Source organism: Homo sapiens, chromosome 16 (genome assembly GCF_000001405.40).
Source record: "Homo sapiens chromosome 16, GRCh38.p14 Primary Assembly".
NCBI lineage: Eukaryota > Metazoa > Chordata > Mammalia > Primates > Hominidae > Homo > Homo sapiens.
The window spans coordinates 23,302,729-23,318,820 of NC_000016.10; the positions used below are offsets into that span (position 1 = coordinate 23,302,729).

Below are 16,092 nucleotides of genomic sequence, written 5' to 3' on the forward strand. Positions count from 1 at the left end.
GCATAGAGTGGGCGGGGCAAGAAGTTGTTCAAGAGGTGACAACAATGAAACTCGAGAGCGCTTTCTACGTGCTGGGCACAGCTCAGCAGAGCGCCTTGCTCAAACGACCTAACTTCGCTCACAGGGCATCCCTGTGGGGTGGTTCTCTTGCTGTCCCCATTTTGCAGAGGTGCAAACTGAGGGTCAGAGGGTGGGGAAGCTTCCCTACGTCCCAGGAACAAGTTGCTGAGCTCAGATTTGAACCCAGGCAGTCCGACCCTGGAGCCTACCTCGTGGGCTGTCAGTGGCGTCCGGGGAACGTGGGTTTCATTTGGGGTGATGTGGTGGAGGAGGCCAGATCCGAACGCCCTGCAGTTGTCTGCGCTGAGGATTCTCAAGTGCTAAGTTGATGTCTGGACAATGTCATATGACTTAGGTGTGCTGTGGAGGGAAAGGGTCTGGGATATAGTACAGGGACATTCTCACTCTAGCGTGGAGGGGGAAAATGAGGCACAGAGTTTAGGGAGGAAGCAGCAGAGACCTCCAGTCCACAAAAGGCACATCTTCCCACTCACCTCCACCAGGGAGTAGGGGCAGAACAACCAAGACTGGCTTTGGTCCCTGGCAGCCCAGCTCTCACAAAGCCGGGTGGATGGGTCTGAAAGCTCCCAGAGACCTGAGCACCCCTGTCTCAGATCCCAGCATCCGTGAGTGACCCAACCTGCCTACCCATTGAGCTGTGTAATTCCATGCAGAACACAGGGATCCATTCTTCTTCCTCTGTAATCTTCCACCCCTGCCCTCCCAGCTCCCCAAAGGTAAACACCTTCATAATTTGGAGTGTTTCCTTCTAGACCCTTTCCCCCACCTACACAGTCATATATACAGAGCCATAGAAAATATGTAAAATACTTAGTAATGTAGTAATGTTGTAGGTGGATATTTAATAGAAATGATGCAACCCTTGGGAGGCTGAGGAGGGCGGATCACTTGAGGTCAGGAGTTTGAGACCAGCCCAGCCTACATGGTGAAACCCCATTTCTACAAAAAAAAAAAAAAAAATTAGCCGGGCATAGTGGTATGTGCCTGTAATCCCAGCTACTCAGGAGGCTGACGCAGGTGGATCGCTTGAACCCAGGAGGTGGAGGTTGCAGTGAGCTGAGATGGCACCATTGCACTCTAGCCTGAGTGAAAGAGCAAGACTCTGTTTCAGAAAAATAGAACTAGAAGTAGAAATGGTACAACCCACCTATGTCATTCTGCAACTTGAGCCCTCTCATCACCAGTTATCCATGCTGCTGCATATAAACCCAGCTTATTTATTTAAACTGCTGCATGGATTCCCGCCGTGGATAATGCCTACCGATGGGAATTTAGGTGACAAAAATTTTCAGGTTGGTTTTTATTTCAGCATCTTCTATAAATTGTTATCTCTGGGTTAAGTTCAATTTATTTTTCTTTATCCTAAACTAACTTCACAGGATCTGAATTTAGGGGATGAGGTCCTCTCTTTTCCACTGCTCACATACGGACCCATGAATGCATGCACACACACACATGCACACATGTGTGTACATATGCATGTTCACACACAAGCACACACGGGCACACATACATGAGACATACACACAAGCAAGTGTACATGCATGCATACACACACACAGGTGTGTGCACACACCTCTATTCTGTCTATGACCAAGGACAAACACCACACTTTCTCTAGCTGCAGTCTCTGCAGGTCCCTAAGGCTGAGACTCAGCCAGGCCACTAGTTCTGCCTGGCCATGCCCCAATGGGCAGAGGTTCCATCGGGGCCACCTCCAGGGGTTCTCTCTAGATGCCCTCCAAAGCCAAACTCAGCCTCCAATAGCAGACAGAAGGAGCTGAGAACCACGAACCACGGACTGGCAGATTGGACTGTCCAGGGTCCTGTTTGTGTACCACAAACTGTAGGTCCAGGCTGTGGCCTAAAGAGAGTGTGTTTGCTATAGACTGACAGGACCCTTAAAAGTTTGGTGGAACCCATGATCTGGGTTGATGAAAAGCTAGAATCAGAGACACTACATTATAATCCCAGCTTCACCCCTTCCTAGTTCAGGCAATTCCCTTCCCCTCCCTGAGCCGTAGTTTTCACATCTGTAAAATGGGCATGATAATAATGGCACCCTCCCCAAACTGTTAGGTGGATTAGTGGGGTGATGTAAATAAAATGCTTAGGGACTCATCAGCATCAGTAAGCAGGAAGTCTTTTCCTGAACAGGGGAGACCTGGAGATGGCCCTTGGGTGGTGGGGGGACGCAGGGGTGATGCCTAGAGCCACTGTTTGTGACTTCATCCACACCCCAAGTACAGACCAGAGGGTCCTTTGCACTGAGCCCTGAGCCAAAGAAGAGATTTCCGCTTGTTGAGAGCCAAGCCCAGCTTACTGTGGAGTCCAGAAGTGTCATGTTACTTACAAAAGGCCTAAGGTGTGCCTGGTCCTGGGTTAAGACACAGAAATGAAGTGAGCTGAGGTGCTCCCCTTTGGAATACAAGAGATAGCAAAAGTCACAAAGAAGGCCTGTGGACTTTTAAATTTTTAGATTATTCCCAAGATTTTAAAAATCAGTTCATATAAGACTCCATATTTCTGGATCCTCTTGAGATATCAGTAAAGCTGGCAATGGCCAGGCATGGTGGTTCACACCTGTAATCCCAGCACTTTGGGAGACCAAGGAGGGTGGGTTGTTTGAGCTTAGGAGATCGAGACCAGCGAGTTGCTTGAGCTTAGGAGATCAATATCAGTCTGAGCAACATGGCAAAAACCCATCTCTACCAAATATATATATTATATATATATATATATATATATATATATATATATATATATATTATATATATATATATATATATAACCTGGGTGTGGTGGCATGTACCTACAGTCCCAGCTACAGGGGAAGCTGAGGTGAGAGGCTCCCCTGAGCCCAGGAGGTTGAGACTACAGTGAGCTGTGATCACACAGTTGTACTCCAGCTTGGGCAACAGAGTGAGACCCTGCCTCAAAAAAGGAAAAGAAAGAAAGAAAAGAAAAGCTGGCAACTCTGGGCCAGACACTCAGCTGCCCCCTTACATGGAGCAGGCACCCTGCAGGGCATGACAGTCCCTACCTGGCCCACCCCTCATTCATAAAGAGCAGCTAATATAAAAGGTAACACCACGGACTCCACAGCCAATCTCTATCTCCCAGCTATGCAGTGGATTAATTACAAGTTTCAGGCCAGGCGCAGTGGCTCACGCCTGTAATCCCAACACTTTGGGAGGCTGAGGCGGGTGGATCACCTGAGTTCAGGCGTTCGAGACCAGCCTGGCCAACGGGGTGAAGCTCCATCTCTAGTAAAAATACAGAAATTAGCTGGGCATGGTGGTGGGTGCCTGTAGTCCCAGCTACTTGGGAAGCTGAAGTGGGAGAATCGCTTGAACCCAGAAGGTGGAGATTGCGATGAGCCGAGATTGCATCGTTGCACTCTAGCCTGGGAGACAAGAGTGAAACTCTGTCAAAAAAAAAAAAAAACCTATGTTTCAAGCAAATTGTTTAGCATTTTTTGTGACTCCATTTCCTTATGGGTAAAACAGGCATAATAAATAGCACTTGCCTCAAACGGTTATGTTGGGCATTAAATGAGTCAACACACATGAACCCCTTAGTACAGTGCCTGACTCAAGTAAACACTGTCTAACCATTGCTGATGCTGATGCTGATAATGGTGGTGTTATCAGCACCTGCCTGGCCCCTGTAACAGTGGATTATACTCCAATTATACTCCTTATAAAATGTGGTAGGAACATAAGTAAGGGAGGGAGAAGGAAGGAAAGTAACTCTTTGAGCCCCTTCTTCAAGTAAGACGCTGCAATACCTTTTCTGGCCAAGGACAAGAAGGGAACATTTAAAGGAAAGGTTCAAAGAGAAGGGCTTTTTAAGGTGGGTTTTAAAGGATGCATAGGAGTTCTTCTGGAGCAGTGGAGTGAGAAAAGCATTCCACACAGTGGAAACAGTCTTTACAAAAGCCTAGAGGCATGACCAAAGGAAGTATGTTTAAGAAGTGATGTAGTCTGTTGTCACTTTGTAGTAGGGTGAGTAGGAGGAAAGATAGGAAGATGTAACTGGAGATTGAGAAAAGGAACTTGAGGCTGTGATGGCGCGTGAGGCAGGAATAGAGATGAGCATTTCTTGAGTAACTAGTATGTGCAGGTTCTCTTGTAATCATCACCCCTGTAGTCGTCATAATGCCCTGGGAGTCACGTTTTGTGATCTCTGTTCTACAGATGAGTTAGACTGAGGCTCAAGAAGAGTAAACCACTTGCCCAAAATCTTGCAGTGGGTCAGTGGTACAGCTGGAGTTGGACACCAAATCTGTCTGATTCAAAGCATGTGAGCCCTTGCTGAGCCTCAGTTTTCTCACTGTAAAGTGGAACTAGTACTAAAAAAACCCACTCTACAGGTGTGCTGGGAGGGTTCGAAGACAGAGTGAATGCACTGCACAGTTCCTAGCATAGAATCTAGCACACAGCAACTGCTGCCGTTATTTTGACTGGAATGAAGCCTGTGCTCCTTTTTTTTTTTTTTTTTTTTGGTGGTTGTGGGGTGGTGTGGGGAACGGAGTTTCATTCTTGTCACCCAGGCTGGAGTGCAATGGTGTGATCTCGGCTCACTGCAACCTCCACTTCCCGGGTTCAAGTGATGCTCCTGCCTCAGCCTCCCAAGTAGCTGGGATTACAAGAGTCCGCCACCATGCCCAGCTAATTTTTGTATTTTTAGTAAAGATGAGGTTTCACCATGTTGGCCAAGCTGGTCTCGAACTCCTGACCTCAGGTGATCTGCCCACCTCGGACTCCCAAAGTGCTGGGATTACAGGCATGAGCCGCTGCGCTTGGCTGCCTGTGCTCCTTTATGCCCCTTGACCTAACTCACATGGTAGACTAGTCTTAGATGGGGGAACCCAGGGAGTGAATGACCTAAGCCAGTGGGTCTCAAAGTGTAGTCCCCCCACCAGCAGCATAATCATCACCTGAGCTTGTTGGAAATGCCAGGCGCAGTGGCCATCGCCTGTAATCCCAACTGCTTGCAAGGCTGAGGCAGGAGGACCACTTGAGCCCAGGAGTTCAAGTCCAGCCCAAGCAACATAGCAAGACCCTACAAAAAAATTCAAAAATTAGCCGGGTGTAGTGGCACATGCCCGTAGTCCCAGCTACTTGGGAGGCTGAGGTGAGAGGATTGCTTGAGCCCAGGAGATTGAGGCTGCAGTGAGCTATGATCATCTGATTGCACCCCAGCCTGGGCAACAGAGAGAGACCTTTTCTCAAAAAATAATGAATTTTGGTGTGGTGGCGCATGCCTGTAGTCCCAGCTACTCACAAGGCTGAAGTGGAAGGATTGCTTGAGCCCAGGAGTTTGAAGCTGAAGTGAGCTGTGATCATCAGGCTACACTCCAGCCTGGGTGACAGAGCAAGACTCTGTCTCTAAAAAAGTAACAAGAAAGAAAGACATGCAGAGTACAAGCCGGGTGCAGTGGCTCCCACCTGGAATCCCAGCACTCAGAGAGGCTGAGGTGAGAGGATCAATTGAGGCCAGGAGTTCAAGACTAGACTGAACAACATAGCAAGACTCCATCTCTGTACAAAATTTAAAAATTATCCAGGCATGGTGGTGCACACCTGTAGTCATAGCTACTCTGGAGGCTGAGGCAGAAGGGTTGCTTGAGCTCAGGAGTTTGAGGCTGCAGTGAGCCATGATCATGCCATTGTACTCCAGCCTAGGTGATAGAATAAGGCCCTGTCTCTAAAAAACAGAAATGCAGGTTCTCACACTCATCCCAGACTTCCCACATCAGAGACTCTCAGAATGAGCCTTGCAATCTGTAATTTATTTTATTTTATTTCATCTTATCTTATCTTATTTGTTTATTTATTTTGAGACAGAGTCTGACTGTCACCCAGACTGGAGTGCAGTGGCACGAACTTGGCTCACTGCAACCTCCACCTCGGGTTCAAGCGATTCTCCTGCCTCAGCTTCCCAAGTAGCTGGGATTACAGGTGCCTGCCCCCACACCCACCTAATTCTTGTATTTTTTGTAGAGATGGGGTTTCACCACGTTGGCCAGGTGGCTGCGTCGGCCTCCCAAAGTGCTGGGATTACAGGTGTAAATCACCATGCCTGGCCACGATCTGTATTTTAATAAGCTCTCTTAGTGATTCTGAGGGACAGTCAAGTGTGAGAATCACTGGCTTAGTGTAAAACTTCAAATGAGATCTCCTCCAGCCGTCTGTGTCTGACTTGCACTAGAAGGGAGGGTGGATGGTGCAGAGTTCTGTCCTCAGCAAAGACATAATCTGGAGGGTATATCATAAGATAAAGGCATGTCCCTCTCGGTCCTGGAGCTTGGAAGAAACCAATTTTTTTTCAGATAGAAAAGTTGCTAAGGGAGCTGGTGGAGTTCCTAGAACTATTATTCTTCCAAATTTGCTCACCATCCTATACTTACAGCTTCCAGTCTGCCCCCACCTGAGGGCCTGGGGCAAACTCGACTTTTAGAGGAGTTGCTTTCTAGTGAAGACTGCCCCTGACAGCTGAAGACCTGCTCCCACCCCACTATAACTGTATTAGTTAGGGTTCTCTAGAGGGACAGAACTCATAGGATGGATGGATAGATGATAGATAGATAAATGATGATAGATAGATAGATAGATAGATAGATAGACAGATAGATAGCTAAAGAGGAGTTTATTAAATATTAACTCACATGATCACAAGGTCCCACAATAGGCTGTTTGCAAGCTGAGGAGCAAGGAAGCCAGTCCGAGCCCCAAAACAGAAGAACTTGGAGTCCGATGTTTGAAAGCGGGAAGGGTCCAGCATGGGAGAAAGATGTAGCCTAGGAGGCTAGGCCAGTCTAGGCTTTTCACATTTTTCTACCTGCTTTATATACTAGCTGCATTGGCAGCTGATTAGCTGGTGCCCACTCAGATTAAGAGTGGGTCTGCCTTTCCCAGCCCACTGACTCAAGTGTTAATCTCCTTTGGCAACACCCTCACAGACACACCCGGGATCGATACTTTGCATCCTTCAATCCAATCAAGTTGACACTCAGTATTAAGCATCACAGCCACCTTATAAAGAGCCTGTTCCTAGAAGCTCCTCTGTGCCTGTGGGCCTTCTCTCTTGGCCCCCGTGAGAGCATGTGTCAAGGCACAAGTCCTAGGCAGTGGGGAATGATCTCAGCTCTACAAGAGGACTATTAAGGAGGCCCCAGGTCAAGCTCAGGTTGGGGACAGTCATATCCTGCAGATAACTTCAAATCAAGAAGCACGCCCCTCCACACATCCTCTTTGAAGCACTGATTAAGAGTCAGAAGGACAAGGCACCGTGGCTCACACATGTAATTCCAGCACTCAGGAAGGCTGAGGCGAGAGGATTGCTTGAGGCCAGGAGCTTGAGACCAGCCTGGGCAGCATAGTGAGACCCTGTCTCTATTTTAAAAATAAAAATAATAAAAGGCCTTCAAGATTGCTGGGTCTGACTACATAAAAGTTAGTATGTTCTGCATGACCAAAAAAAAAAAAAAAAAAAAAAACCCACATAAACTCAGGCATTCCAAGCTAGTTAAAATATTTGCCACTGTTATGACCAATAATTATTTTATGGATAGGGTTCTTGCAGGCTGAGCACAGTGACTCATGCCTGTAATCCAAGCACTTTGGAAGGCCAAGGTGGGAGGATTGCTTGCTTGAGGCCAGGAGTTTGAGACCAGCCTGGGCAATATAGTGAGACCCCACCTCTATAATAAAAGAATGATTAGCCAGGCATAATGGCACAAGTCCCAGCTACTTGGGATGCTGAGGCAGGAAGATGGCTTGTGCCTGGGAGTTGGAGGCTACAGAAAGCTATGATTGCACCACTGCACTCCAACTTGGGCAACACAGCGAGACCCTGTCTCAGGAGAAAAAGAAATGTGTTCTTGCAAATCAAAGACCAAATACCCATCCAAAAAGTTAAAGAGCAAAGGCTATAATTTGGTTGATCACAAGAAAAGAAGTGTACATTGAATTCACACAGATGAAAAGATTCTCAACTGCACTCCAAAGAAAGAAACCCACAAATGATTATTTTCCACCTGTCAGGTTGTTGAGTAACACTCAGTGTTGGTGAAGATGCAGGAAAACCAGGACTCTCAAACTCAGCTGGTGAGGGTACAAATTGGTGCAAGTTCTTGGCCTAACTCACACCATGGCCCAGCCTCGGATGAGGGAGTCCAGGGAGTGAATGGCCTAGGCCAGTGGTCAGGGTGCAAATCGGTGCAAGCTCTTGGCCTAACTTTGAGGGCGGTTCGGCAAACATGTCAATGCTGAAGATGCACATACCCTATGAATCTGCCATTTCACCCGCAGGAATTGACCCAGTGGTTATCTCTGCATTGGGCACAACTTGTTAGAACAAGGATATTCGGCACTGTGAGAACAAGCAATTGGAACTGGGAGCCACTGGTGGCCCCTTGGCAAATGTGGCCCTTTCCTTTCAGACCTTCAGGACCAATGTAGGCCACCTCGTTCCCCTCCACATGCTAGGGAGCTCATTCCTTAGCCAAGATCTGGAAGGAGGACTAAGATCTGGAAAGTCTTCTGTAGCCTCTCTCAAGAGTTACTCCTGATTGGACTCATTTGAGGACCTTAAGCAGGGGCTGGGTTGCACCCTCCCAAAACTAGCTTTGTCTCACCCACCGGCTGATTCTTGAAATTCCTAGGTGGGTGTCTCACCTACGTCTATGTGTGGAGGTTGTTGATTCTCTAACTGAGCTCAAGATTTGAATCCTGATTGGAAAACACTACCACCATCCCACCTTACCCCTACCCCAGGAGGGATTACCTTTGTCTTTCTCAAGGACTAAGTTTGCACCCCAGCAAGAAGGAGTTGGAGAGAGGCTTTGGCAGGTTGGGTTAGGGAGCGAGACCATGAAGAGGCTTGGGGTCTGAGGCTGTGGACTTCAAGGCAGCTTTCAAGGATTGTTTTAGAGATTGGTGGGGAGGGGAAATGTGAAAAGTTTAGAAACATGTCTGATACATGCCTGGCTCATTAATGGGGCCAGGAGGGGAGTGTTGGAGAGGAAAGGAGATAGGGAAGAGGGGGAGATTTAGGAAGACAGAGAAAGCCCCAAGAGATGGCCATGGGCCTGTACAGGGCAGAGACCCCTGCCTCCAGCACCCAACACCCACCCTCCCTCCCTGGTTGCATTTGGGGGTGCGGTGGGGGAGCAGAGGCTGATGTAGGGAGGGGGAGGCCTTCATTACCCCACTACATTGGAGGCAGAGCTTTGCCTGCCCTAGGAGAAGGGACCAGGGGAGTTCTGGTTTACCCCAGGCTGTCTGGGGAGCCGATTCCTGTCCTTAAAACATTTTCTTTCCTTTCTTTCATTTTTGTAGACAGGGTCTCACTATATTGCCCAGGCTGGTCTCAAACTCCTGGGCTCAAGGAATCCTCCCACCTCGAGCTCACAAAGTGTTGGGATTATAGGCATGAGCTACCTCGCCTGGCTCCTTAAAGCATTAAGGGCAAGATTTGGGTGCAGAAGTCTCCCAGTCTCCTTAGCTGTACCAGGACAGGCTGTTTGTTTAACAGTTAAGAGTTTGGGAGTCAGGCAGACTGGAGTTGGAGCTCAGTTGCAGGACAGGTGGACCCCCACCAGTCCATGGGATAACTTGGTGGGGGGAATTTGAGGGGACCGTGAGGCATTAGCAAGCCAAGTGCACAGCATGCTGACCCCCAGGCACTGGACCCACCCTGGCTATTGCTCTGATAACCTCCAAATGGCTGCTATGCTGGTCCTGCCCTGCTTGGAGAAGGGATGAGGGTAGGGCCATGATGGGAGAACTCTGGGCTGAGAAGCCAGAAACAGCTTTATCTGCAGAATTCAGGGAAAATTGAAATCTCAGAATCAGGGCCTTGGGTGAGTGGAGAGAGGGCAAATGTCTGAGTGGATGACAATCTGGTTGGTTACAAGTCGCCGGCTGTTGGAAGAGGAGCCTAGCTGGGCCTCACCTCCCCCGATCCCTTGGCACCAGATGATAGAGAGTGGCGCCATCCTGGCCACAGGATGGTGAGCCCACTGGGCAGATTCCCCTCCCCAACCCTCACAGAAAGCAGAACCTGGTGAAGAGCTGTGGTGGAGGGGAAGGAGGCTGCACATTTTCCTACATTTGGGTGGGAAGGCAGAAGATACTTTCTTTCCCAATACAAAGCAGTTCTCTTTGCAATTCATTCATTCATTCAAAAAGTATTTAGGGAGTGTTTCCTGAGTGCTATAACACTAGTTCACAGGAACTGAAACACTTAGAGGAAAGGTTTTATGTGTTTTGTTTACTGCTATTGTCCAAATTCCCAGTAGATGCTCAGTGAACGTTTATTGAATGAATAAATGAATGAATGATGGATGGATGGATGGATGCATATCAGCATTGGGCTAGACACTGAAAATACAGTGGTGACCCAGCCACATCTCTCATCCTCCAGTAAATTCCATGGACCCCCATTCTCTGGTCCCCTCCCCATCTTCACCCCTAATCTTGAACTACCAGTAGGGCCCCACAAATGGTGGCTGGGCCTGAAATGGGCAGGGCTGTATTCTTGTTGGATCTTATGATCCAGCTGGCTAAAAACCCTATCCTGAAGACCCCTCTACAAAGGATCTCATTCACTTGAGGAGGTGTGGTCACCTTGTCTGGGAACCCCGTTGTTTTGTTTGCCTTACGTACAAGGACTGAACTGGACTCAGTTTCTTTTTCAACACATGCTATCGTTTGCCAAATCAACTCTGATAGGGCCCAAATGGCTCTCTCCCCTACAGTATAATAATAAAAATAAGCACCGATTTTTGTGTGTGGTTTGTTTGTTTGTTTTGAAATGGAGTCTCGCTCTTTCACCAGGCTGGAGTGCAGTGGCACGATCTCGGCTCACTGCAACCACTGCCTCTTGGGTTCAAGCCATTCTCCTGCCCCAGCCTCCCAAGTAGCTGGTACTATAGGCACGCGCCACCACGCCCAGCTAATTTTTGTATTTTTAGTAGAGACAGGGTTTCTCCATGTTGGCCAGGATGGCCTTGATCTCTTGACCTCGTGATCTGCCCACCTTGGCCTCCCAAAGTACTGGGATTACAGACATGAGCCATGCACCCGGCCAGCAGCATTTTTTAAGTATGACTACATGCCAGGCATGTGCATTCTTTCATTGAATTCTTTCAGCAACCATATGGGGGTAGGTACAGTTTTTTAATTATTAATATTATTTTTACATTTTCCTTGTTTGTTGAGATAGGGTCTCACTCTGTTGCCCAGGCTGGAATGCAGTGGCTCAATCACAGCTCACTGCAGCCTCAACATCCCAGGCTGAAGCGATCCTCCCACCTCAGCCTCTCCAGTAGCTGGGACTGCAGGTGCACACCACTACGGCCAGCTAACTTTTTTATTTTATTTGTTTTGGTAGAGACAGGGTTTGGCCATGTTGCCCAGGCTGGTCTTGAACTCCTGGGCTCACTCAATCTTCTCACCTTGGCCTCCCAAAGTGCTGGGATTACAGGCGTGAACTGCCACGCCCGGCCAGGTACAATTATTATCCCCCTTTTACACACAGAGAAACTGAGCTCTCTCACTGCAGGATTTCAATGTATCTTTACAACAATCCAGTGAAACAGGTAATGTAATTGTCTGCATTTCACAGAAAAGAAAATAGGCTCAGAGAGCTTAAGTAACTTGCCCAAGGTCACACAGAGCTAGCAAATGGTGTGTCTGGGATTCAAACCCAAGCAGTTTGACTGTAGATCCCACTCTGTTCACCCCAGCTTGCCTCTCCTCAGCTTCTTGGTGTCGTCTGAGAGGTGAGTGTGGAGGAGGAGGGGAATTTTTTTCTCTGTGACATGGCTCTCGAAGCCTTTGGTTCACCCACAGCCAAGTGTAAGGTTTCGGCTTTTCACAATGCCAGGAACCACCCTGGGTCACTGTGAGGGTGAAGATTGTAATCTCCCCCAACAAAGAGGGTACTCAGCCCCTTGCCTTCAGGGCGCCACATTCCCAGCCTTCAATTTTCCCTGGAGGCCTGGCTTCCTACTGCCAGATGGCCTTTGTAGGGGCTGAGGGGACCATGGACCCTGGGCCTCCCTCCCAAGGTTTTGGATCCAAGGCCATCTACTATGCCAGCCCAACTCTGGCACAAGGTGGGGAACGCGTGGCCCAGACCAGGGCCTGGAAAAACAAAGCTGGATTTCAGAGGTTGGCAGGAAATGGAGACAGAGCAGGAAACAGAAGGGGCTAAGAGAAAAACATGCCACCGGCTGGGTGCGGTGGCTCAAGCCTGTAATCCCAGCACTTTGGGAGGCCAAGGCGGGCGGATCACCTGAGGTTGGGAGTTTGAGGCCAGCCTGACCAACATGGAGAAATCCCCGTTTCTACTAAAAATGTAAAATTAGCTAGGTGTGATGGTGCATGCCTGTAGTCCCAGCTGCTCAGGAGGCTGAGGCAGGAGAATCGCTTGAACCTGGGAGGCAGAGGTTGCAGTGAGCCAAGATCGCACCATTGCACTCCAGCCTGAGCAACAAGAGCGAAAGTCTGTCTCAAAAAAAAAAAAGTCACCATTCTTTCCCTTTCTTGTCTCTGATTCATGCCTTCCACCTGGTGTTTGGCAAATAACATGTTTATTTAATAAACTGCGATGCCATGAAACCCATTCTGGAGGCCAAGGGCACAGGGAGCCCAGCTGACCCAGCATGTATAAGCACTTACTATAGAACAGGCATGGGAGCCTAGTGCAGTGGCTCACGCCTGTAATCCCTGCACTTTGGCAGGCCAAGGTGGGAGGATTGCTTGAGCCCAGGAGTTTGAGACCAGCCTGCCTGGGCAACATAGTGAGACTCTCTCTATAAATTCTTTTTCTTAATTAGCCACATGTTGTGGCAACTGTAGTCTCAGCTACTTGGAAGGCTGAGGTGGGAGGATCACTTGAGCCCAGGAGTTCAAGTCTGCAGTGAGCCGTGATCGTGCCACCGCACTCCAGCCTTGGTGACAGAGTGAGACCCTGTCTCTTAAACGAAGTACAGGCATAGGGAGCAATGTTTTGCCTGAGTCCTCTCATTTAATCTGCACATAATAACCCTATCAAGTAGGTACATCCTTACCATCACCATCATCATCACCATTACCATCCTCATAGTCACCATCACCACCATTCCCCTCATCACCTCTCACCATCACCATCCTCACCATCATCGCCATCATCATCATCACCACCATCATCCCCATCATCACCATCACCATCGCCACCATCACCATCACCATCCTCACCATCACCACCATCAGGATCACCATCACCACCATCATCACAACCATTATCACCATCACCACCATCACTATCCTCACCACCATCACCATCATCACCATCACCACCATCATCATCATCACCACCATCATCCCCATCATCACCATCACCATCCTCACCATCACCACCATCAGGATCACCATCACCACCATCATCACAACCATTATCACCATCTTCACCATCACCACCATCACCATCCTCACCACCATCACCATCATCACCATCATGATCACCATCACCACCATCGCCGTCACCATCTCCTCCATCATCACCATCACCATCCTCACCATCATCACCATCATCATCATCACCACCATCACCATCACCATCTCCTTCATCATCACCATCATCATCATCACCATCACCACCATCACCCTGACCATCACCTCCATCATCACCATCACCATCCTCACCATCACCACCATCAGGATCACCATCACCACCATCATCACAACCATTATCACCATCCTCACCATCACCACCATCACCATCTTCACCACCATCACCATCATCACCATCATGATCACCATCACCCTCACCATCTCCTCTGTCATCACCATCACCATCCTCACCATCATCACCATCACCATCATCATCAACACCATCACCATCACCACCATCACCCTCACCATCTCCTCTGTCATCACTGTCACCATCCTCACCATCATCACCATCACCATCATCAACACCATCACTATCACCACCATCACCCTCACCATCTCCTCCATCATCACCATCATCATCCTCAGCACCATCACCATTATCATCACCATCATCAGCATCATGACCACCATCACCCTCACCATCACCTCCATTATCACCATCACCATCACCATTCTCACCATCATCACCATCACCACCAGAGCAACATTATGGTCACCCACATGGTTTCCCAGACCCAAGAAGCAGCCCACAGATGGGGTAACAGACCCAAAGGACATGATGACACGTCATCTCCTAGAAAGATGGCTAAGAATTTGGGCTCTAAAGCCTGAAAGACCTAAATTTGATTCCTAGCTCTGCCACTTTTGAGCTGTGTGACTTCAGGCAATTGACCTAACATCTCTGAAACTCAGCGGCCTTGTCTGTAAAATGGTGATGATCACAGTTCCTCCTCACAGGGCTGTGGTAAGAGGCACATGAGCTAATGCCTGTGAGGCCCTGGCACAGGGCCTGGCTGAAATCATAAAAGGGAAAAACAAACACTCTGCAAAGGCGGCAGCAGTTAAGGGAATCACTCAGGGTGTCTGGTTGGTAGTTCCCAGCAGCTCAATCTCTGGATTGCAAGAAGTAGGTGTTGCCCAGCGTGAGAACGGGCACTGGAGAGCAGTGTGGGGACATGACTGGAGAGACCACTCAAGGGCCTTTTTTTCTTCTCAAGGAGCCAGGGTATGGAGGGATGGGAGGGGAGCTTTTGTGTGGAACAGGGTCGAGAGTTCAGAGCTGATGCTGCCGCCAATCCGGTCTGAGAGAGAGCAGGGAGCAGGATCCTTTTCCAGGCTGCACGGAGGAGCTCTCAGGGAAAACTCCTTCCTGCTCCTGTCCCAAAGGGTTCCCCAGAGCGGCTGGCACACACCTCCACCATGCATGATGGCATTTCCTTGTGGGCTCATCTCCCTTTTTGATGATTTGCTTCTAAATAGCAGTAAAGGTGAGCACCGAAGGGCAATGCTGTGCCAGGGAATCCTGAGTGTCTTGCCTCCAGCCTCTAGGGCTGCCACAAATGCCTGTGGGGTATGTGTGCTGCCAACTCCAGGGATGTCATTGTCAATCACACAGACTACACACATGATGAAGGATGCTTCTTGGAGTTGTATAGGGCACAGTCTGCACAACCACACAGGGCTGCCCTGCCAGCCTCCTTCTTCCTGCAGAAGGTACAGAACTGTTTTGAGTGCCTCAGCTCCAGCTGCAGCTCAAGGCAGAGAAAGGTTGAGTGTAAATGCCAATCAAGAGGCAAACGGCCCAGGTTTGCTGCCCAAGGCTTGTTCTGGAGAAGATTGTGTCTGGGCATTGTGGTGACTGGTGATGGTGGTGGATTATTGATTGTCCTTAATATAGATTATCAGGAGGCAATATAGCAAAGTGGTTATGAGAGCAGACTCTGGAGCAAACAGACACGGTTTCAATTTTGCTCTGCTACTTACTCTCACTGTGTGATTTGGGCAAATCACCTGACCTCTCTGTGCTTCCATCTCCTCGTCTAAAAAACAGGTGTATACTAATATGCGGCCAGGCACAGTGGCTCATGCCTGTAATCCTAGCACTTTGGGAGGCCGAGGCTGATGGATCACTTGAGGTCAGGAGTTTGAGACCAGCCTGGCCAACATAGTGAAACCCCATCTCTACTAAAACTACAAAAATTAGCCGGACGTGGTGGCGGACGCCTGTAATCCCAGCTACTCAGGAGGCTGAGACAGGAGAATTGCTTGAACCCGGGAGGCAGAAGTTGCAGTGAGCCGAGATTGCGCCAAGGCACTCCAGCCAGGGCAATAGACTGAGACTTCGTCTAAAGAAAAAAATAAAATAAAATAAAGACTATAATAATATGCATGAGTGTATTCTAGCTCTCCCTGTCTTTCAGAGTGGCTGTAAGAAGGAGATGAGATCATGTGAGTAAAGCTAAGCACAGTGCCTGCTGCACAGTAAAAGATCACTAAGGGCCAACGAAATTGCCAGCCAGAAAGGTGGGGCGCAGAGTCACCCATAGGAAGGCAGCTCCCT

General features: G+C 48.8%; 1 protein-coding gene across 4 annotated transcripts in view; it reads left to right on the forward strand.

Annotated features, from left to right (window-relative positions):
• SCNN1B (sodium channel epithelial 1 subunit beta) overlaps window positions 1–16,092 on the forward strand; it is a 103,064-nt gene that overhangs the window by 24,498 nt on the left and 62,474 nt on the right. The gene's annotated exons all lie outside the window — the stretch shown is intronic.